Source organism: Homo sapiens, chromosome 11, assembly GCF_000001405.40.
Source record: "Homo sapiens chromosome 11, GRCh38.p14 Primary Assembly".
NCBI classification, from domain to species: Eukaryota; Metazoa; Chordata; class Mammalia; order Primates; family Hominidae; genus Homo; species Homo sapiens.
In genome coordinates this window covers 34,111,678-34,134,928 of record NC_000011.10, presented here as the reverse complement: position 1 = coordinate 34,134,928, position 23,251 = coordinate 34,111,678, and the positions used below count along the sequence as shown (strand labels likewise).

General features: G+C 44.7%; 1 protein-coding gene across 2 annotated transcripts in view; it reads right to left on the bottom strand.

The window, feature by feature from the left end:
* Nucleotides 1–23,251, bottom strand: part of NAT10 (N-acetyltransferase 10) — a 41,280-nt gene that overhangs the window by 11,980 nt on the left and 6,049 nt on the right. For both annotated transcript variants that reach the window (NM_024662.3, NM_001144030.2), the window contains 15 exons: nucleotides 22,706–22,877; nucleotides 21,091–21,213; nucleotides 19,045–19,106; nucleotides 16,635–16,749; nucleotides 16,426–16,533; nucleotides 12,337–12,470; nucleotides 11,074–11,167; nucleotides 10,529–10,627; nucleotides 7,330–7,466; nucleotides 3,992–4,116; nucleotides 3,398–3,548; nucleotides 2,708–2,804; nucleotides 1,787–1,903; nucleotides 509–610; nucleotides 343–417 (listed from right to left, as the gene is read on the bottom strand). In NM_024662.3, coding sequence (NP_078938.3) covers nucleotides 343–417; nucleotides 509–610; nucleotides 1,787–1,903; nucleotides 2,708–2,804; nucleotides 3,398–3,548; nucleotides 3,992–4,116; nucleotides 7,330–7,466; nucleotides 10,529–10,627; nucleotides 11,074–11,167; nucleotides 12,337–12,470; nucleotides 16,426–16,533; nucleotides 16,635–16,749; nucleotides 19,045–19,106; nucleotides 21,091–21,213; nucleotides 22,706–22,877 — 1,711 coding nt within the window. The remainder of the gene's footprint in view (nucleotides 1–342; nucleotides 418–508; nucleotides 611–1,786; nucleotides 1,904–2,707; nucleotides 2,805–3,397; nucleotides 3,549–3,991; nucleotides 4,117–7,329; nucleotides 7,467–10,528; nucleotides 10,628–11,073; nucleotides 11,168–12,336; nucleotides 12,471–16,425; nucleotides 16,534–16,634; nucleotides 16,750–19,044; nucleotides 19,107–21,090; nucleotides 21,214–22,705; nucleotides 22,878–23,251) is intronic.

The following is a 23,251-nucleotide window of genomic DNA, read 5'->3' as shown; positions in this document are numbered from 1 at the left end:
GCTTTCTGGTCTCCAGATGGGCAAGCCCAAATGAGAGGCAGTTTCTGTACCATTGCCTGAAAAGGAAGTTTCTACAGCCAATTACTCAGTGAGGTGTTCTAAGAAGGTAATTTTGTTATGCAGGTCTGGTTCACAAGTCCTCGTTCTCACAAAGGAAGAGTGAGCATATGCCATCATCCTGTCCACCCACCCACCCCGAACCCTGGCTCAATTCTCCAGAGCAGGGAAGTGCCTACACTTCACTTGCTTCTGCTTGACCAGCTTCTTATTCCAGCCACCAAGTACCCCCACCCTAAAGCACCGCCAGCAACACGGCTTCAGGGGAGCCTGAGGACACATTACCCCTTGATAATCTGGGTGAACAGCAATGCGAACGACCCTTCCACCAGACAGACCACCAAAGTCTGGATCTTGGAACTGTGTGGGAGACACAAACCAGTAACTTAGCAACACAGACATCTTTGGACACCACCAGCTTCCCTCAGACACACCAGGGAAAGCCCGTCACCTGTTCTGACACTGTCCATGGAATCAGGTCCCCTGAAGCCTTCTTGCCTCGAGACAGACTGTTCAAGATGGACTGGCGAGAAATCTCCCCTTCAAGGCACACCTGTGGGGGAAGCAGGACAGTGCAGGCAGAAAGGCCAACTCTGATACAGAGCCCACTCACAGAATATAGCTTGTTTCTCGAACTAGGCCAGTTGTTTCCACCCCCATGTTCAGGTTTAACCCTGACACTGACACATCCATTCCCCCCGCTCTTTTGAGATGGAGTCTCACTCTGTCGCCCAGGCTGGAGTGCAGTGGTGCTATCTCGGCTCACTGCAAGCTCTGCCTCCTGGGTTCATGCCATTTTCCTGCCTCAGCCTCCCGAGTAGCTGGGACTACAGGTGCCTACCACCACACCCGGCTTATTTTTTGTATTTTTTTTTTTTTTTTTAGTAGAGAAGGGGTTTCACCGTGTTAGCCAGGATGGTCTTGATCTTCTGACCTTGTGATCCGCCCGCCTCGGCCTCCCAAAGTGCTGGGATTACAGGCGTGAGCCATGGCGCCTGGCCTGACACATCCATTCTTAACAGGAGCTTAATTACCAGGCCCCATGTTACAGGGCAGAAGACTGACAGCCTCCTGACCCAAAAAGTAAAAGCCACATTAGAAGAGAGTCTCTATGTATGCTGTGCGTGTGTGAAGGCCATCAAGACACAGGATGCTCATGAGGCTCTGTACAGAACAGCACAAGTTCAAAATAACTAAAATGTCTAACAGGTGAATGGTTGAACAAATCATGGTACATGTATATAATGAAATACTACACAGCTTTAAAACTTATGTAGATTATGAGTGTTTTATACACTGCCTAAAAATAAAAGCAGATTACTATGTATATGAAAAGGAAAAGTGATATAGAAATGCATAAATACATCCATGCTAGGCATTAAAAATTTGTTCCCCAATCTGTAGCCTCTAATTCAAAATGCACCATGTATTGCTTTTGTAATAAAGGGAGAAAACAAACAAGTCTGTTTGTGGAAGAAGCTGTGAGTCAAAATAAGAGAGCGGTCGGTTCTGGCTTTTCCCCGTCCGTCAACAGTGGAGCTTTGGGTGTCTAGTGGCGCTAACCTCTTCCAGTGCACCCTAGTCACCTGTCTCAGCAGACCCAGCCCCTTGGTTCCAGACCAGGACTCCACAGTTTCAAAACTCCCACAATGCAGTTATTAAGCCACTAATTCCTGATGCCTCAGTGGTTCCCCAAATCACTGCCACAAGGACGCCTCTGCTCCTATACCTGGATAACAGCAAGCACTTCTGGAAGGGCATTCTGGGTGGGGGGCACGGGAGGCAGAAGGCAGAAGAGATGGTGAGCAGGTGCATCGGAGAGCATCTGGAGATCATTGGGAGAGTTCTGTGGAAGCCAAACACGGGTCAGTGAGAAGCACTCTTCCTCTTGCCCTTTACGCAAAAGGTTCGATTCAGAACCACAGGATGACTGCAGTATGGCCTTCTCCAAAGCCAAGTGAGGAGCAGAAGTCCAGCAAAGCACCTTTCTAGTATTTTGGCAAGCCTGAGACTCTTCATAACAGGTTAAGTGGAACTTAGCCTCAAATGCCTACTGTCCTCTCACCCCGAGCACTGAGGCTGGACAGAAGAAGAGAATTTATTTAGCACTACTTATTTCACAGCTAGGAAGTGAACTTTTTACAGATAAGAGGCTGCTATTTCAGGAAAAACTGTCACCACTTCTAACACCAACTCTTCAAGCCTTCCATTAAAAGCTGTTCATAAAAATACTATCTAGACATTCAAAAAGTATCCTTTTTAACCAACCCTTTTGTTTTTAAGAGTCTCAGATATTCTAAACCCTCAAATTCACTGTTCCATAAAAGTAGCCCAGAGCTATAAAGCTGGTCTCAGGTCAAACTGCACCACCGGGCCACAACTGCAATGTCACCTCATCCTATCAGTTTAGTAGGCAGGCAAGAAATGAAAGCACTCCTTTAAAAATGGACACAGCTTTCCACCCTGTCCCGTTACTGCATGGAGCTACATGCTCTATACCTACACACAGCAAGATCAGTGGAACTCATCAATGTCCCAATGGAACAGTCACCTAAGCCATTGGGTAATAAAATATGCAAATCAAGTAAAAGGGGACTGCCAAATGCTGAAGCTCCCTGCTACCATTCACACAAGGGCTAGCTGCAGTTACCTTGTAGTGAGAAGCCACGTAGAGGGCCATAAGCCGTTGGAGGAAAACTTCAGAGGCCTTGTGGTAGCAAAAGAGGGTATCTCTATTAACATAGTACCTGGGTCTGGAGTTAAGAAACCAAAACAAAACAAATAGCCGAAGACAGGTCATACTACTCTCTGGAGGCAGAACAAATTTCCGTAGCTGGGAACAGGAGCTCAGTGTCCTAAGCAGAAACACATAAAAGAAGGAAGAAGAGGGCCAGGCGCGTTGGCTCACACCGGTAATCCCAGCACTTTGGGAGGCTGAGGCAGGCAGATCACAAGGTCAGGAGTTTGAGACCAGCCTGACCAACATGGTGAAACCCTGTCTCTACTAAAAATACAAAAATTAGCCAGACGTGGTGGCTGGCACCTGTAATCCCAGCTACTCAAGAGGCTGAGGCAGGAGAATCACTTGAACCCGGGAGGCAGAGGTTGCAGTGAGCTGAGATTGTGCCACTGCACTCTAGCCTGGTGACAGAGCGAGACTCCATCTCAAAAAAAAAAAAAAGAAAGAAAAAAAAAAAAGGAAGAGAAAAAGGAAATTGAAAATGTTCAACTTTCCCCTTTCTCTAGAGCAGCATCCTATGAAACAAAGGACTCAAGTCCTTTGAATTCTTTCACCGCCCCTCTCCTTTTCACAGGGCCAGTGAAACCCAGAGGAGGATACAGTTCACAAGCTTCAGGCAAGGGGCAGCCTGAGACTATCCGAGTGATGTTGAGGCAATCCAGGCACAGCAAGTCATTCAGCCACTTCTCCACTGCATCCCCAGGGGCGTATCGGATTGACTCCTGGAGGGAAACCTCATACAGTGTCCGCGCTGCTCCCCACAATCACACACACAAAAGAAGAAACAATGATTAAATATGTATTGTCTAAAAAAGCAAGGAAAAATGTTTCACTTTATATTTGTCCCATGGTGGCCAGAGACGTGTGGTAAGAATTTAAACTGGGTGGTTTAAAATTGTTTTTGGTGGATATTCAACTTGCCACGATACCAACCCCAAAGGGATCTCAATGCAACCATGCCCTGAGACAAGGACACACAAGGGCCCCACCATCAGAAGGCCCTAGTCTGGCTCCCATCTGGTCACTGGACTGCTGTTCCTCCGAAAAAAGCTACTTCTCCTCTTGGGGACTCAACCTCTCAGCCTGATGGTGGGAAGGTTTGGTGCTTCCCATGATGTCACAGGGGAAGCGAGGATCAGTAAGACTGAAGGGCCTTGCTGTGAACCGCGGGACCCGGGTCAGGTTCTGGGGTACCTGATGCCAATCTGGCTGTCGTCGTGGTCTTATTCTCAGCAGTGGTGCTGACCTGGCTCTGGGCGCTCTGTTGACGGAGCTGCTGAATTAGCTTGAGGGACAGTGACCGGCCAGTGCCCTCATAGCTAGAAACAAAGGCAAAAGGAATCAGGCACAAGGTCCCAAATCCACTGTCTAGGAGGGGACAGAGAGCTGCTTTCCTCCACCTGCTGAAACACCAGACCCCTGCTTCCCCCAGGACAGCCTTGCTCATCTCTGAACTTCCAGCATAGCAGGCACCTGTCCAAAGGAGGCAGGGTGGCACGGTGGCTGAGCTTGGGGCCACCCAGGCCTGGGCTCACGTCCTGGCTCATCTACTTAGTATCTTTGGGCAAGGAGCTGAATCTCTTTTCGCCTCATCTTCAAGAGGGGATTATTCTATACACCTCACAGGACTGTGATGTGAACTTAAAAAATAAGGACTGGAAAAAGGATGTAAGTAAAGCCTTTAGCATAAAGGCTTTAGGCAGTTTTAGTGAAGCTGGAACAAAGTTAAATGGTCAACTAACGGAGCTGCTTTTAGAAGTACGGTGCATAAGGAAATGAACTGAGAACATTTCCAGTTTGGAAAATAAAACAAATCCACCACCTCAGTAATTCTTTTCATTGCTATGCCCACTTATAAGGTGACATAAAATAGCTAAAAAATGTTGAGAAAAAAATTAAATCACCTATAATCTGATAACTCAATCAGCTTTCATTGTTGAGTTTTCTTCTCCTTGTCTTTAGTCACAGGCATATGTCACCACAGGGTACACACAGCACTTTTCATTACATCATTTCATAGTACTCATTATTATATTCAAAGACTGTAAAATACTTCCTCTTACTCAAATAATGATAAAAGCTAGATGTTTTATGCCCACTCTCCACACCACATAACAAAGCTCTCCCAAAAGTATCCTATTTATTTATTTAAGAAAAAAGAGTAAGCACAAGCAACAAAACTTCAAAACTTTTGTCGTTAAAAGACATTATTATAAAGAAAGTGGCCGGGCATGGTGGCTCATACCTATAATCCCAGCACTTTGGGAGGCCGAGGCGGGTAGATCACCTGAGGTCAGGAGTTTGAGACCAGCCTGACAAACATGGTGAAACCCCGTCTCCACTAAAAATACAAAAGTTAGCCAGGCATGGTGGTACACACCTGTAATCCCAGCTACTCAAGAGGCTGAGGCAGGAGAAATGGGTTGAACCTGGGAGGTGAAGGTTGCAGTGAGCCAAGATTACACCACTGCACTCCAGCCTTGGCGACAGAGTCAGAGTCTGTCTCAAAAAAAAAAAAAAAAAAAAAAAAAAGAAGAAGAAGAAGAAAGTGAAAAAACCCATAGAATGTGAGAAAATTTTTGTAAATCATATCTGAAAAGGGACCTGGTATCAAGAATATATAAAGAACCCTTACAAATCATTAATAAAAAAGACAACCCAATTGGAGAGATGAACAGAGGATACGAATACACATTTCTCCAAAGAACATACGTGAGTGGCCAATACGCACATGTAAAGATGCTAATATCATTAGTCACCAGGAAATGCAAATGAGAATTATAACGAGAGGTCACTTCACACCTATTAGAATGGTTATAACCACAAAGATACATAATAAGTGTGTGAGAGGATACAGAAAAGTCAGAACCCTCATACTGCTGGTGGGAACGTAGAATGTGCAATTGCTTTGGAAGAGTCTGGCAGCTCCTCGCATGGTCTAACATAGAGTTAGCCCAATAGTTTCACTCCTAGGTGTATCCCTAAGAGAACTGAAAAACATGTCCACGCAAAAATCTGCACGCTAATGTTCAAAGCAAGATTATTAATAATATCCAAGAGGGAGAAATAACCCAAATGTCCACCAACAGATAAATGGAAAAATAAAATGTGGTATATCTATACAATAGAATACTATTCAACCATAAAAAGGAATGAAATACTGATACATGCTACAAGTCAGTCATGGAAGACCACATATTTTATAATTCCATTTATATGAAATGTCCAAAATAGGCAAATCTATGGGTACAGAAAGTAGATTAGTGACTCCCTAGGGTTGGGGGGTGTGGAGGAACTGGAGGAGGATGCACAGGCTTTCTTTATGGGGTGATAAAAATGTTCTAAAATTGGTTGTGGTGAGCACGGTTGCACAACTCTGTGAACATACTAAAAACCATTAAATTACACATTTTAAATGGATAGATAGTACAGTATGTGAGTTATATCTCAATAAAGCTGTTTGAAAAGTAAAAATCCATTTTATTTCAGTATTTTCAGTGTAAGCAAAGCAGTCACAATAAATCTGCATACAGAATAATCTCTTCAAGATGTGATTTCTATACAGAAATCTTCCCAATATTGGAGATACATATTTACTGACCTCAAAAGATTTCACAATATTGTTATATTCAAAATGCAAATTAAAAATGTTTTTCTTGTTCAAATGAAAAAAGTAAAATAAATGCAGAGAAAATGTACATCAAAATTCTAACAAAATCTATCTCCAGATGGTTGAATTACAGGTGATTTTTCTTTTTTTTTTTTTTTTGTTTTGTTTTTGAGACAGTCTCGCTCTGTCGCCCAGACTGGAGAGCAGTGGTGCAATCTCGGCTCACTGCAGCCTCCACCTCCTGGGTTTAAGCAATTTTCCTGCCTCAGCCTCCAGAGTAGCTGGGATTACAGGCACGCGCCACCAGACCCAGCTAATTTTTGTATTTTTAGTAAAGATGGGGTTTTACCATGTTGGTCAGGCTGGTCTCGAACTCCTGACCTTGTGATCCGCCTGCCTCGGCCTCCCAATGTGCTGGGATTACAGGTGTGAGCCACTGCACCTGGCTACAGGTGATTTTTCTTTTGCTTACCTGTTCTAATTTTTCAATAGCCAACACTAAATATTTCTAATTAAAAAATTAAATATTTCAAATTTTAAAAAAAGTCATTATGAGCTTGCTTTCTTATGATAATTATAGTACTTTAATACTGTATTTTCTAAGATATAAGATATTGGTATCACCATCCATGTATTTTTCAACATTTTATCACACCTACAGACAGAAGCAGACACTCAGCACATCAGACTAAAATTCTTCAGTCTTACACTGCCCATTTCATGTCGGGCCAGAGACGTGTAACAGTTCATTAAGAGACCAGTTTCCATTTGCAGAAGCCCAGTAGAGAATGAAGCAGCCTCAAACACTCAGAGACTCTGAGAATCAGACTTGGCTGTCCAGGCCCAGGCCACATCCACTACATGCCCCTAAATCTGCAAGAGCCTGCCACGGGAGTAAGGACTCCTGCCCACAGTACCTTACCCATTGATGGTGGATGCCATGAAAACAAGGTAGGGGCCAAGTAGGCTCTTCACCAAGGGGAGGGGGATGGCGGCAGCTTCATCAATCACAACTAGTTCAGCCTGGCCCAGCTTCACAGCATCTGCAGGATGTATATACTATGGGGAAGGAAAATTTAGATTATTAGCATAGTGAACTCATGTCACAGCTGTGATTACTGGCGACTCATCATAAAGGATGTTCTCTTTCCTCTCTCTCCCTGTTTCCTTCTCTCCTCTCATTCCTCCTTTCTACTTTTTCCTGGCAGGGCAAAAATGGGATGGGCTTGGAGTCAGACACCTGGGTTCAGAGAGTTCGGCCACTGATCATATGACCTTGGACAAGTCACTTAATCCCACAGTGCCTCAGACTCCTCCTCCTGTAAAATGAAGGAAATACCTATCTTATGGCTGCTTGAAGGAAAAATAAAGCAGGTATATAAAGATGCCCTGCCCAGTGCCTGACTCACAGTGCTGAGAGATAGATGGTGGCTCCCTTTCCTTTCTCTCCTTTGTCTCCTCACGTTTTCCCCCAGCCTCAGATAAGGAAAGCCGATGAGCTCGAGGCATAGCTCGACCCCAGTGGTGGCTAAAGAGGAGGATGTCGGATTTCTCATGCCGGGCACTGTGCTCCCTGCTCTGATGGCATGATTACAAGGGCCAAGTCTCCCTGCACTGACGGACATTTCTAGAACTTGTTATTTTCTTAATACATAAACACTTACATATCTTTATGCATACAAACAACCTCTTCAGTTTCTTCAGGGCTTCCTGCTAATTTTAAAGTGGTTTGAAAAGCAATGAAGAGGTATCTTATAGGAAACCTGAATAACCAATTAACATAAACAAAGATATTCAACCTCAACAATAATCAGTGAAATGCTAAAGACAGCAGGGAGATACCATTTCACAAAACTTAAATAGCTGTTAAAACATCCAGAGTTGATGAGGTCTTAGAGAAATTAAAACTCAAATGAATGCTGGCATGGGGGTAAACTGGTATAAACACTTTGAAGGAGAATTTGGCAAATTTTAAGCAAGCTGGAAAACTACACAATCCTAAAACCCAACAACTCCACTTTGAGAAACATACATGTAAATATAATTTACTCATATAATACCTAAAGATCAATCAACCAGATCTACAAGCTTTAATCTGCATAGATCTTGAAAACAAATGTTAAAAAAGGAAAGCTGAAGGAGGACAAGTACAGTATGTTTCCACTTATGGACAGATAATTACGTAGTAAACATAGAAACACATGAACTGAAAGGACACACACCAGTATCAGAACTAAGTCACCCATGGGGAGGGACAGAAGGAAATAGGATGGAAAGGGGTTGAGGGACTTCAACTGTATTTGTGATGTTTTAGTTCTTTAAAACAAAAATCTAAATGACATTTGAAATATGAAACAAACACAGCAAACATCAAAATGTCAACAATACTTAAACCTGAGTGTTGGGTGCCTGAATGTTATATTGGTCTCTGCACGCTCCTATACATTTGAACTATTTCATTACAAATAAGATGTTCTGCTTTGCTACAAGCTGATGGGCCAGGGAGGCGGCAACCCCACCCATTTCTTTTTTTCATTTTTTGAGACAAAGCCTCACTCTGTCGCCCAGGCTGGAGTGCAGTGGTGTGATCTCGGCTCATTGCAACCTCTGCCTCCAGGGTTCAACCAATTCTCGGGTTCAACCAATTCTCCTGCCTCGGCCTCCCGAGTAGCTGGGATTGCAGGCGCATGCCACCACGCCTGGCTAACTTTTTTAAATTTTAGTAGAGATGGGATTTCACCATGTTGGCCAGGATGGTCTCCAACTCCTGACCTCAAGTGATTCGCCCACCTCAGCCTCCCAAAGCGCTGGGATTAGAGCCATGAGCCACCATGCCCGGCCAACCCTGCTCATTTCTAGCAGCAGAATGTACATCCTCAACAGGGCCCCAGATCTTGTCTTCTTCAAGGGAAAAACTAAACAAGCATCTCATAAAAGCAGCAGAAAGCAGCCCCCCAGGGGAGGTGAAGCCAACTTTTATCTAATATTCTTCTTTTTCTCAATCTTGAGCCCAAAGAGAGGCCTGAAAGGTACACAAATGGAGTCTCATAAAGTAAGGTCACCTCCTCTGTGCTCACACTGGAGACAAAAGAACTCTGGTAATATGAGAGAGTATTTGATTACAAATTCAAGAAGGAGCAAGGCCCGAGGCAGGGTATTTCAGGGAAATGTTTTCCTTCTTTGGTTTGTGTATTTTTCTTGAGTTTTAACAGGTCTCCGTGTTCTCATTGCCTGCAGCCTGACCCTCACCAACAGCAGCCTTTCCTCCTCCCAGCTGGGGGAATCGAGCAAAAGTGAGCAGAAATGTACAGAATGAAGAGATTCTAGAAAGAGGCTAGTAAGAAAAAATTAAGGTGAAAGGCATAAACACTTAACATTGTTTATAATCTGGCCTCTGATAAAAAGGTATAACTTCTTGACATGCATATACATATGCTTTGACAGGCATAAAGTGCTAGGGTATAAACTGCCAAATTCACCTGGCTCACTTCCCAACCCAATTCCAAAAATAATCAATGAACCTCCTCCAGTAAGAGCCCATTAGTCTCAGTCCGTCTGTAAGCCCATCACCTCATGCCTCTCTTAGAGATTTAGCAAAACTGCAGCCTTTGGACAAGTGCAGACCATTCAGGCTTACAGAGTGCTAGAGATTTTTAGAACTTTTGGGAAAACACTGTTTAAAAAAGAAAATAGGCCACTGGCTAAACCACAAAGATTCAGAGCACATTTTGCAAAGTTCTTTTTTTCATTTAAGCTGTAAGGTTATTGTTCTAGTTACAGATGCAACATTTCAAAAACTGCAATAACTAAGCAAAGTTAGAGCTGATGTCAGAAGAAAGATTCTCTTTTAGTTAATCAGCGTACTTTCCACCCCACTTATTCCATATTCAAAGGACAAAAACACAACTTTTCAATCTAACTACATATATTTGTTAGTTTGCTGAATGTTTTTCTTTAGAAGAGTCTGAAAATCTGGAACAGGTTTAGCATACAACACCACCATTGTCTAAAAGACATGCAATTACACAAGACATACATGTCTATAACAGGAAACATCTTAGAGCCAGTTAAATACAGCAAGACACTGGCCCTGCACATCAGGGTCTGAGAACAAGCCTCACCTGAATAGTCTGCCTGTGTTCTCGAAATACATTCACTCTGATCACTGCTTTGTTAAATTCAGGATTTAGAGACTGGATAATCTCATAATCCAGATGTTCCTGGTGGGGAGTCAAACCAATGACAAACTTTAGAAACAAGTTTCAGAAACTAAATATTATGAAAGTAAGCAAGTATTCTAAAGACTTCACTTGGATTTAAACCCAGCACTGTATCAAAATAAAAATCCTTTTTTTTTTTGAGATGGAGTTTCGAGCCCAGGCTGGAGTGCAGTGGCGTGATCTCAGCTCACTGCAACCTCCGCCTCCCGGGTTCAAGCGATTCTCCTGCCTCAGCCTCCCAAGTAGCTGGGATTACAGGCATGCGCCACCACACCCGGCTAATTTTGTACTTTTAGTAGAGACGGGGTTTCTCTATGTTGGTCAGGCTGGTCTCCAACTCCCGACCTCAGGTGATCCGCCCGCGTCGGCCTCCCAAAGTGCTGGGATTACAGGCGTGAGCCACCACACCAGGTCCAAAATAAAAATTCTTAATCCAAATTTCCTACCTGATATTGCAGAGCATCAAATCCTTTAAATACAAATTCAAACAGAGTATGGAGGTTATCAGGGCTTGGGGAGGTAACAAAGATATTGGAGTACCTACAGAACAAAATAAAAGAAGGATTTTTAAGAAATTAGGAACATCTTAAAGAAACAATTTAAAAAAGAAAATATTTTTGTTTGCTCCTGTCCCAAAGGTGATAACCAGAGGTAACAGCAAGGGAAAAAGTCAGGACACCTTTTGGGAAGGAAAGTAAAGCAACTCCAGACATTTAGCTACCAACATCTGTGAAAGCAAGCTGCTTAGAAGCACTGTGGAGACAACGCCCTCGGTGTGCAGAACAGACAGACTGCTTCCCAATCCAGTGCACTGCTACAAGAAGTAGTTTCATGCTCATCACTAGCTGTGCTGACGCTTTCAAATGGTGAAGCTGGGGAGCTCAATCGGTGCTCAGGCCAAGGCCAAAGCTAACCTCCAAGTTAGCTTTGCCTTGCTGAGTATAAAGGATGCTAACAGCAGATGCTAATGGCTAAGAGGCTGACTGTTACAGCTAGAGCAGCAGGAAGAACGAAGGACAAGGAGTCAGGAGCTAAGCTCAAGCCCCAGCTCTATCAGCACTGACTTGCTGGGGGATCTTGGGTAAATCACTGGAACTCCCCAAACCTAGGTTGATTCATCTATAAAATGCCCACAGAGCTCTAAAGAGCACCAAGGAAGATAATGCACAAAGGCAAACACAGTAAGTTCTAGGTTCATTATTATGGCCGAGAAGTTGGAAGAACATACTCTATTGGCAGCTGCATGTATCTTCCAAACCCAGTAGAAAAAAACAGAAACTAACATCACACCTAAAACCAGCTCCTCAGAAGCCAAAGAAAGCTTCTTTTAATCAAAATCATTAAAATGTCAAACTTGTACTTTTCTCAGTCAGCAAGGCTGGTCATACACATTCTCATGCCCTGAGTTGTAAAGTTTCTTACTCCCATTTCTTTGCCTCTGCATGTTTGTTCAACTGTAAATAGTGATTACAAAGGCCCTGGTATATATGTGTCTGTGTGTACACACAAGTAAACATGCACCTTTAGGGTGGGTTGGGGAAACAGTGCTGCTGTTTCCTGGCAGGAAATCAAGACCTAGAGAAATCACACACTGAACCCACTCAGAACTCAGAACTAGGAACGTGAGATACCAGTCCTCTGACCCCAACCCTGCACACTACCCCCACAGAGCCCAGAGTTCCTAAAGATGGGGGACTGAATCCCCTTACCCAAATGCCACCGCCCCAGCAATCGCCAATCCCAGGGCTGCAGATTTTCCCCGTCCTCGAGCAGCTGTGAGTGCAACAGTACTCCTCAGGGTCTTTTCAGAGATGCCCTCGATAAATTTCAAGACAGCTTTGGCCTGTGGAAACAGAAACATATTAGGTGAACTCCAAGAAAGACCCAAGTTTCCACCATTCATCACCATCACTGTGGAGAAGTGAGGTTGATGCCAGGCTAAATAAGAGGGCGGCAGTTCTTGCAGGCCAGAAAGCACTGCTCAGCACCTGGACTTCTCACTCCCTTGGTCATCTCATTTCAGTCTCAAGGCCTTTGGTACCAATTTTTAATAGATGCTGATAACTCAAATTTACAGCTTCAGTCTGGACCACTTCCCTGCACATCAGACTTTTTTTTTCCTTCTGAGATGGAGTTTCACTCTTGTTGCCCAGGCTGGAGTGCAATGGTGCGATCTCGGCTCACTGCAACCTCCACCTCCCAGGTTCAAGCGATTTTCCTGCCTCAGCCTCCTGAGTAACTGAGATTACAGGCGCTTGCCACCACGCCCAGCTAGTTTTTATATTTTTAGTAGAGACAGGGTTTCACCATGTTGGGCAGGCTGGTCTCGAACTCCTAACCTCAGGCGATCCGCCTGCCTCAGCCTCCCAAAGTGCTGGGATTACAGGGGTGAGCCATGGCACCTGGTCCACACCAGACCTTTTTTTTTTTTTTTTTTTTTTTTGAGACAGAGTCTCGCTCTGTCACCAGGCTGGAGTGCAGTGGCATGATCTCAGCTCACTTCAACCTCCACCTCCTGGGTTCAAGTGATTCTCCTGCCTCAGCCTCCCAAGTAGCTAGGATTACAGGCGCACACCACCATGCCCAGCTAATTTTTGTATTTTTAGTAGAGACGGGGTTTCACCATGTTGGCCAGGATGATCTCAATCTCTTGACCTCGTGATCCGCTCACCTCAGCCTTCCAAAGTGCTGGGATTACAGGCGTGAGCCACCACACCTGGCTGGCCCACACCAGACTTTTATACACATGCAACTGCTTCCTGTACATTCCCATTTGTACACTACAGATCTCAAACTTTAAACTGAACGCCTAAAGTTGCCCCAAACCTCCTCCACCTAGTCTTCCCCATCTAACTGTTCAACTGCTTGGGCCAAAGCCTCCTCAATTCTTCCCTGATAACTTGATTCGTCAGCGAATCCTGTTACCTCCAAAACATATATAAAATCCTACCATTTCTTACTTACACCACTATCCTCCTCTACTGCTCTGCTCAAAGCCACCACCCTATCCTTCTTCCATCATGACAGCAGCCTCCTGATCAGTCTTCCTGCTGCCACCCTCACTCCACCAGTCTATATTCAACACAGCAGCCAGACGATCCTCTTAAAAAGAAGCCTGGGGATGCCTCTGGCAGCTGTGCTGAAAGGAGACTATGGGCATAAAAGCCTCCACTGCTCCCATCTGTTATAGAGTAAGTGTGAAAGCCCTGCCAGTGGCCTGAAAGATCCTCCAAAAATCTCCTCCTCCACCCCTACTCACCCTGCTTCAGCCCCTCAGCCTCCCTGCCAGGCCTAGGACACCGGAGGGACACCCCTCCCCCAGGCCCATGCACATGCTGCTTCCTCTGCCTGAAGCAGTGGCTCCCCAAGAGCCACAGGGCTTGTTTCCTCACCTCGCCTCCTTCATGGCTTGGCTCCAAAATCACCTCCTACATGAGGCCACCCCTGCCCCTGTATGTAGAACCACAGCGCCCCACCCTCATCTGGCATGCCCTATCCCTCTTTGCAACTTTTTCTTTCTTCCCATTGTACGTAGCATCTTCTGCTTCACCATATGGTCTGCTCATGTCTTTTATTTACTGACTGTCTCATCTCACTAGGAGGCAAGCTCCATGAAGCAGGTGCATCCCTCTTGTCTACTGCTGGGCCCCCAGTGCCTACAGGAGCGCCTAGAAGTAAAAGCAAGATGCCAGTGACACTGAAGGACAGGAGCCACTAACTACTTAGGGGCCAAACTTTGCTCCTCAGCTGGATCTGTGCTGGGAATAGGTGTTTGAGGGTGGGAAGAAGGCCAGATGGTCCTGAGAAGTTGTCATGCTTGCCTAGGCAATGATGCTAAGAAGACACTGAAGAGACACAGGCCAAGGTAGATGGAAGGGGAGAGGCTTCAGGAAGCCAGAGTTTCTCCAGATGAAAATACTCAAAGGGAATCCAGGTCGTATTTAACTTGGCCTTGCCTGAAGGCTGTATTTTATCATTTTGTTTTATATTATAGAAGTTATAAACTCTGAAAAATCCAATGACATAACAGAATGGTACCAAATCTAGACTAAAATGCATCCTAAAATGAAGAACCAATACAAAAAAGGCCAAAATCCAAGTAAAAAGTGGGCAGAGGAAATAAGCAGACCGGCTCACCAAAAAAAAAAAAAAAAAAAACCAACAGCAACAACAACAACAACAAAACAACAGATGACCAATAATTATATGAAGAAGGTACCCTCCTCTCTCCTAATTAAAGCAGCAACACAAATTAAAACGGTCCTATGTTCTCATATCAGATTAGTAAAGACTTACAAGTTTACTAGGAATCACGGCTGCGAGGGTGTAGAGAAAAAGGCATTTCCACACACTGGATAGTTCCATCAACTGGTACAACACCCATTTGAATACACACAACCTCTCATCCAGCAACTTCTCTTCTGGAAACGTATCCTAAATATAGTGCCCACAGACTTATCTGTAAGAATCCCCTAAGAGCACTGTTTCTAACAGTGGAAATGCTGGAATCAATCGAAATGTCTAACAGGGGACCACTTACACTCTGTAGTATGACCCCTTCGCATTTAATTCATTTATGTGCATGAAAAAAGAGGCAGCAGGATACATAATAAACTGTTAATAGCAGTTGTTTCTGCAGAGTGAAACTGCCAAGTGGAAACACCACTTCTTATTTTTTTATGTACTCTTTTTCTATTAACTTTTTGGTTTTTTTTGGTCATAGGCCATTTGTTTTCTTATAACACTACTTAACTAGAATCAGTTTCTCCTGCTTTATCCTATCACTCACTCCTTCTCTTTTGTGATAAAGAGGGTACCAGGAAGTGAATCAAAAAAGCCTAGGGCCTGCAGCTGGAGCTGCATAGAGAGCTATGTAGCTGCTGATCATATTTCCAGAATGAAAAGGGAAGCCAGCCTGCTGGGACTCAGCCCTAAGCGGGAGGTGTCACTGCAGCTATCTTCCCTCTCAAGGGCAGCGACCCATGCTGCTCATTTGGCTCAGGGTGACCTAGAACCCTGAACACACCTGACAGTTCAAAGACCTCTGGGCTGTGCCCAGTCAGTTCCCATCATGGCCCAGGAACCACCAGAGAAGCCAAGTTTACCAGTGCAGACCACCTCAATGAGCACAGAAATGCAACCTGTAAGCTCTCACCCAGCCTGCTATTTGCACTCAAAGACCAGGTACGTATTACCCCAGAGGGCCCTCATCAGGCCTCGCACTGGAACCAGGGTAAATACCAGACTAGGGGCCTCAAGTTCTCCTCTCACTTCTGAATAAGCTATAGGCAAAAGCCTTTATATCATCAAAACTTAACTGAAATTTCAGAACACAGGTATGTTGCCCTCTCTTGGAAAAAGTGGTGAGAGGATTCCTCTTTCAATGTAATCTGTCCAGATGTAGTGGATCATGCCTGTAATCTCAGCACCTTAGGAGGTTGAGGCAGGAGAACTGCTTGAGGCCAGGGGTTCGAAGTTACAGTGAGCCGTGATCATGCCACTGCACTCCAGCTTGGGTGACAGAGTGAGACTCCGTCTTTTAAAAAATAATAATAATAATAATTCATCTGCTCTATCTGTAGCCTGACTAGGGGGAGGTAATCCCCAGACTTCTTTTGGGAACCCACACAACATGAAATAGCCCTACTGTTGCTGAGCACACACGAGTATGAGCAAGGGGAAAAGTCCCCTTCTCCAGGGAGGGTCTGGGTCTTGAGTCAACGTACCTTGGCTTCTGTTACGCTCCGTATGCTATGTTTTACTACCTTTGTGTTGGAAGTGCTGAGCACCACACTCACCTGGTCTAGAGTCTTACAGCAGTCCACCAACACACCCACAGGCTGGGTGTCCTGCAAGCTCTCCTTCAACTCCCTCAGCTCCAGATCAGAAGGACCAAGACTCTCATCCTACCAGAGAGAGGAGAAGGGGAAGGTCTGTCACTGTCACAGGAGGAACAACACAGAAAACGTAGCCTCCCCCAGATTCCTGGACCCCAGCACAGACTCACCGGAGTCTGGGGAGGCAGGGCCTCCATGGTGGCAACGTGGGAGGAGATGGGCAGGATGTTGAGCTGGTCATCAATGACGAGACACTTCTTACAAGAGGCCAGAGACAGAATAAACCTGAGATACAAAACCGCTGCAATGAAGTGTTGGGGAGGGCATGCAATGTCTATACAGAGTATAACTTTTCTTCAAAAAAATTAACTGGCCCCAAGTGTCTCTAAGAAAGCCAGAAAAAGCTAAAACCTAGTTGGAGAGCAGTGTGAGATGATTCAGCACCTCCTCCACAAGGCACCTGAACATACTTTATACAGCAAATCAGAAAACCAAGGACTCATCCCAGGAGATCAATTAGAAGCCCTCCTGTTGTGCATGACTGCCACTATTCCCTACACCACGTGGCCCTCTCCTCATCCTCCCAGGCTTGCTCTTTAGCACTGAGGTGTTTCAGGCCATCCTTAAATGGGGAATTCCAAACCCAACCCCCATATGATCACCAGTCACACAGGGAAAAAATACAAATGAATTCATCTTTTGTCACTAGGAAAAAGAAAAAAAAGGAAGAAGGTGAAAGGAAAGCTCCCCAAAGAAATACAATACAAACGTTCTTGCAAGCAGGGAAAAAAATGCGTTTGACTATAAAATTCAAACATCCTCCCACTGCAAGAAAAGGATTTCATAGGCTTCTGTTGTATTCAGTAGCACACAGCTGCTCCTCCTGATCTGCTCATTCTACTGACTTAGTGCATCACAGATGGTTAAAATGAGAAAGGCCCCCAGGGTTCATCAAGGCTCGGATTTCTACACCTCAGCACTACTGACATTTTGGACCAGATAATTCTTTGGTGTGGAGCTGTCCTGTGCACCACCAGTTGTTCAGCAGCATCCCTGGCCTCTACCCACCGGATGCCCACGGCACCCACCACCACCCTCCCAAAGTCATTACGATCAAAACATTTCCAGACATTGCCAAATGTCCCCAGGGGGCCAAATGGCTCCAGATGAGAACCACTGATTTAGGTCAAAATTTCCTAAGGTGTTTCACAGGGTGCTAACTGGTGTTCCCACACCCCTCAAAAAAATAAATTTTTTTGGTAAAATAAATTTGGGAAACAATCAGTTAAACAGGTCCCTGCTGCTGCAAGACTTTTCAGAGATTACAACAGGCTGGGGCAAATCTTCATAAAGGAAAAAACGGTATAGGTGTTTCCCAGACATATATGGCCAAACCCTCCTCATATGTTCCCTCTTAAAAGACTAGTGTTCTATGATCGGGCACGGTGGCTCACGCCTGTAATCCCAGCACTTTGGGAGGCCAAAGTGAGCAGATCACTTGAGGTCAGGAGTTCGACACCAGCCTGGCCAACACAGTGAAAACCCCACCTCTACTAAAAATACAAAAAATGGCCAGGCACGGTGGCTCATACATGCAATCCTAGCACTTTGGGAGACTGAGTGGGGCAGATCACTTGAGGTCAGGAGTTCAGGACCAGCCTGGCCAACATGGTGAAACCTTGTCTCTACTAAAAATACAAAAATTAGCCAGGCATGGTGGTGGGCTCCTGTAATCCCGGCTACTTGGGAAGCTGAGGCACAAGAATTGCTTGAATGCGGGAGGCAGAGGTTGCAGTGAGCCAAGATCGTGTCTCTGTACTCCAGCCTGGGCAACAGAGCGAGACTCTGTCTCAAAAAAATAATAATAATAATACAAAAAATTAGCCGAGTGTGGTGGCGGGCACCTGTAATCCCAGCTACTCGGGAGGCTGATACAGGAGAATCACTCGACCTGGGAGGCAAAGGTTGCAGTGAGCCAAAATCGCACCACTACACTCCAGCCTGGGCAACACAGCAAGACTCCATCTCAAAAAAATAAATAAATAAAATAAAAATAAATACATACAAATTTAATTTCAGATAACAAACCGTACACCATATTTGAAATTATGGGTGTTCCTTTGCTCAGAAGAAACACTTTGTCGCCTTTTTCTGCCTCTAATTACATCTCACCCCACCTCCCATATTTCTCTTAATCATTTTTACTATGCCAGTACGTCATATTCATAATAAAAAGTTTGGAAAGACTACTGCTCTATGAAATATCTTCTGGGAAGCAGTGATCCAGAAAAATCACTCATTTAAAAGATGAGTAAGCTAAGAACCAGAGAGAGTAACCTGGTTTAACTGAGCTGTCAAGGCCAGCAGCAAGACAAAATTGAGGTTTCCTGGCTCCAACTTTCCACCACGTTTCACTGCTTCCAGTTAGTCTCACAACTGCTGCTGCTGTCAAGAATCTCATCATTTTTGGAATATTGTACTACTTTCCCCAATATAAAAGCAAAGTTTTCAGTTGAGTCCAAGATAAAAATGTCCCTCCCAATGTGGCTGCCCCACAATTGGGGGGAACTATAGAATTACCTTTCATTAAATCTTCCCACCACATCCTGATGGGCCTCAGTTCTGTACCTGGAATGCACATCCTAACAAAGAAAGACAACATCCATTAACAAAGGCATGCAAACAGTGCTGAGGACCAGGGTCCAAATACAAAGCTCTATCCAAGGAGACATGGGCAATCTTGCTGGAAACAAAATCACTCCCACACACACTGCTGTGCCAAATGGTATTTGCTGAAACTGGGATCAGACACTGAATGCAACGTTGCTTATTAAAATCTTTCACTTTTCCACATTTTTCCTAGCATCCTAAGTTATATTCATTTATTTCATAAAATTGGCATGCTGTGTGCCAGATATGCTGTGCATACACTAATGAACAAAGCATGACCTCTGTTCTCATGGCACTTGGAGTATAATGGATGGAGGAAGAAAAATTAGTAGATAAATACAAATTTTGACAAATGCTACATATGAAATATAGACTGCACGGATAGCAAGTGGGGGTCACTTATGTAGGGTAGTGAGGGAGGGCCTCTCTGAGATAAGCTGAGGCCTGAAGGGTAAGTAGGTAGCTATGTCAGAGGGAGAGGAAGAACAAACTGATGTGAGCACAAAGTCATTCATTCACTCTCAACTATCTAAGGAATGCTTACTAAATGCCAGGAACTCTTCTAAGATCTGGAAATGCAACAGCAAAGAAAACTAACTCTCTGTTCCCATCAAATTTATTTACTTATTTATTTATTTTGAGACGGAGTCTTGCTCTGTTGCCCAGGCTGGAGTGCAGTGGCGTGACCTCAGCTCACCGCAACCTCCGCCTCCTGAGTTCAAGCAATTCTCCTGCCTCAGCCTCCCTAGTAGCTGGAATTACAGGTGTGCACCACCACACCTGGTTAATTTTTTTTGTATTTTTGGTAGAGACGAGGTTTCACCATGTTGGCCAGGCTGGTCTCAAACTCCTGACCTCAGGTGATCCGCCCACCTCAGGCTCCCAAAGTGCTAGGATTACAGGCGTGAGCCACTGTGATCGGCCCTCCAGTGAAATTTAGAGACTAGTACAGGAGGACAGACAAATAATAATAATAACTTTAGGTCATTGTCAAGTGCTTTGAAGAAAAATAAAGCCGGTTAAGGAGTGACAGGCGGAGCTGCCTACTGTAAACAGGGTGTGAGGAAAGACCACATGGATGAGGTGATATCTGAGCAGGGGCTTGAATGCAATGAGGAAGCGAGCCAGGCAGAGGTCCAGAGGAAGCACATTCCAGTGGGAACAGCAAGTGCCGAGGCCCTCGCAGGAGTGTGTGCTGGGCATGTCTGAGGACATTTGAGGAGGCCAAAAGGGCTGTAGTGCAAGTGATGAAGGGAGAAGTAATGACAGGAAACAGCCCCTAAGATTTGAGGAAAGTCCATTTCATCAGATAAATGCAGCTCAGGAAACCCTAAGTCCAATCCGACCACCATTACTGAGCTGCTGGACATGGGCATGACTTAAAACTTGCCTCTGAACACTGACTTGGCAACGCTGATAAAGTGAGGAGACCAGCTCTGCATCAGGTGAGACATATCCCTAATTCCTCACCATGTCCTCAGTCAGTGTCTTTTGCTTTGGGAGAACACAATCTCTGCTGGAGTTGAAATTCTTGCCAAACTGGAGTACAACTGGCAAATGTTCCTTCGTCATCCATTAGGATAAGGGCCAGTGAGCAGTCTGCACATGGTCCTTTTTTTGCAATACACAAATTTAGGCACTGGCATTGCTCCTTGTACAATATCATTCCAGAAAATTTAACTACATAAAAGCTGTATCATATCTGAATCTCACTGGTGTAGAATTTGCAAGTGCCTGAAAACAAAGGTGAAATTCAGAGATTCCTAGGCATACTCATGGACCCTGAGATTTAACTGTAGTGACTTTTTCATTAGTTAAAATCAAAGAGCTCTTAGCCCAGAGGCTGTGCTGACTACTCACTGGAGCTGCCCAACAGGAATTCTTTAAAGAAAGCAGAACACAGCAAAAACAGATTTACTTGAACCCTCACAATTAAGTTAAAAAACAGATGCTTACCATAGTCACTGTGTACAATTGCTTGAGTGAGTTCATGGTCCGTAGGAGGATGACCACTAGCCCACCACCTTCCACTGTTTCTACAGTCCTGGCCAGCAAGTTTGGAGTTAAGGCTTCAAAATCCTGGAAGAAGGGGGCGTTAGAAAGGGCTGGTCATGCAAATAGCAACCCAAAGGACTTTTTTTTTTTTTTTTTTTTTTTTGAGATGGAGTCTTGCTCTGTCGCCCAGGCTGGAGTGCAGTGGCGCAATCTTGGCTCACCACCCACCTGAGCCTCCCAAAGTGCTGGGATTACAGGCATGAGCCACCGCGCCTGGCCCAACCCAAGGGACTCTTAACCAAAAGCCAGGTGATAAGGCAAAAAGAAGACTTCAGAGCACAAAGCCAAGACCATACCTGTTCCCACCTTGACTTCCCAGGATACACACACAGGGGTACCACAGAAGAGGGCCAAACCCTCGAATATACGAATACCTGGTTTTATATGCCAAAAACGGGTCTCTTATTAGAGACGTTGTTAGTTTTATATGTCAAAAATGTCTCTGATAAAATCCTATTTGGAAACAAATTTTCCAACCTTCACTGATTCATACTTGAATTTCAGAAACATCTTACATTTTCTGACATTTATAGCTCAAACCTGTTTGACAAAACTATACTACATGGGGGAGCTACTGCTCACAGGAGTCATTATTCAGGCAATTGATCATGGCAGCAAGTAGAAGACCACTCCCTACCAATCAGTGATAACCCAGGGCATTTCCCTGAGTAAAGGTGAAAATGAGGCATAATGCCCTCTTTCTTGGCCTCCAAGGTGAGATGCAAGCCAGCAGTATAGGAGACAACCCATATTTTGCAAGGTATGTAACTTGACATAATAATGGGCACAGTTGTAAGTGTATATGATAAACACACAAAAATGTGAGGATTTGTGCTTAATTTTGTCTTGTCTTTTTTGGGAGAATGGGGAAGGGAGGTGGCACAGGAATCAAAGAAACAAAGAATAAAACAAAGACCACCAGTGCTTACACACACATGCACACACACACACACAAAGTGAAACTTAGTCTATTAACTTGCCAGGCAAGAGAATACACACCAGTGCAGAAATTCACCAAGTAGTCTCTGAGAGGTAAAGTGAGGGGTTTTTAAGGGCTAGAAAAGGGGAGAGGGGCCTTCATGGTGGGTATGCCACTCAGGCACTCTGGACAGGACATTTAAGTGCATTGGTCTATATCCGGTTGGAAAACAAGTCCCATTGCTCACTGGACAAAAAAAGTCTTTGGTGAATGCCAATAAGGACCTAGGGTCCTAGAGGCACTCAAAGTCTCTGGCATTTGCTTTATCAGCTTTAGCTAGTTAGAACCCGTTATAATAACTCATCACTTCAGTTCTGGTGTCTCTAGACAAGTGCTGATTTAAAATTCTCTTTTTATATGGGGTAGGTGACCGAGTGTACTTTGGAAAGTGGCCAGGACTTCCACTAATAATGCTTGGGCATAGGGAACATGGGACTCTCCTCTCCTTACTGTACATCTGTTCCCAGTGGAAAGCCAGGCAGCCCAAGCAACCCTCAAGACTCTGACTTCAATCACAGGTTAGAGGAAGCCACCCACCTGCAGCACACACATGCCGAAGGTATTGCCCAGGATCTTGTGGGTCTCGTTGTAGTAGCAGTAGCGAATGTTTGTGGCTGCTATGAAGAGTTCAAAGGGGTCGTCCTGCTTTATGTTCAGTGTTCCATTCTTTATTTTCTTCTGCAGCTGTCGCATTCTTTTCTTCCGGTGACTGCAATCACACACCCCCAATCCCATGAGAGCCAGTTAACCAGAGCAGCTAAAGAGCTGGAACCAGGGGAAAGGCTCAGTGATCACCCACTTAGACTTTCAGAGCTAGTAGGGAACTTGAAAGTGTGAGGCCCACTTCAGGTGGAGGGCAGTGGAGAGGCATGAGAGGCATTAGAGTGCTTAAGGGCTTGGAGTAAGTGATAAGTCTATGTGTGAACTCTGCTATTTTGCCCTGTGACCTTGAGCAAATACTTTGCTTTAAAAGATGGGTAATAGGGTAGCTAACCCTCACATTTGGCCAAAGCCAGAGCTTGAAACCAAACCTGAGTGGCCTCATTATCTCAGTCATAAGCCAATGCTTCAACTACACTGTGC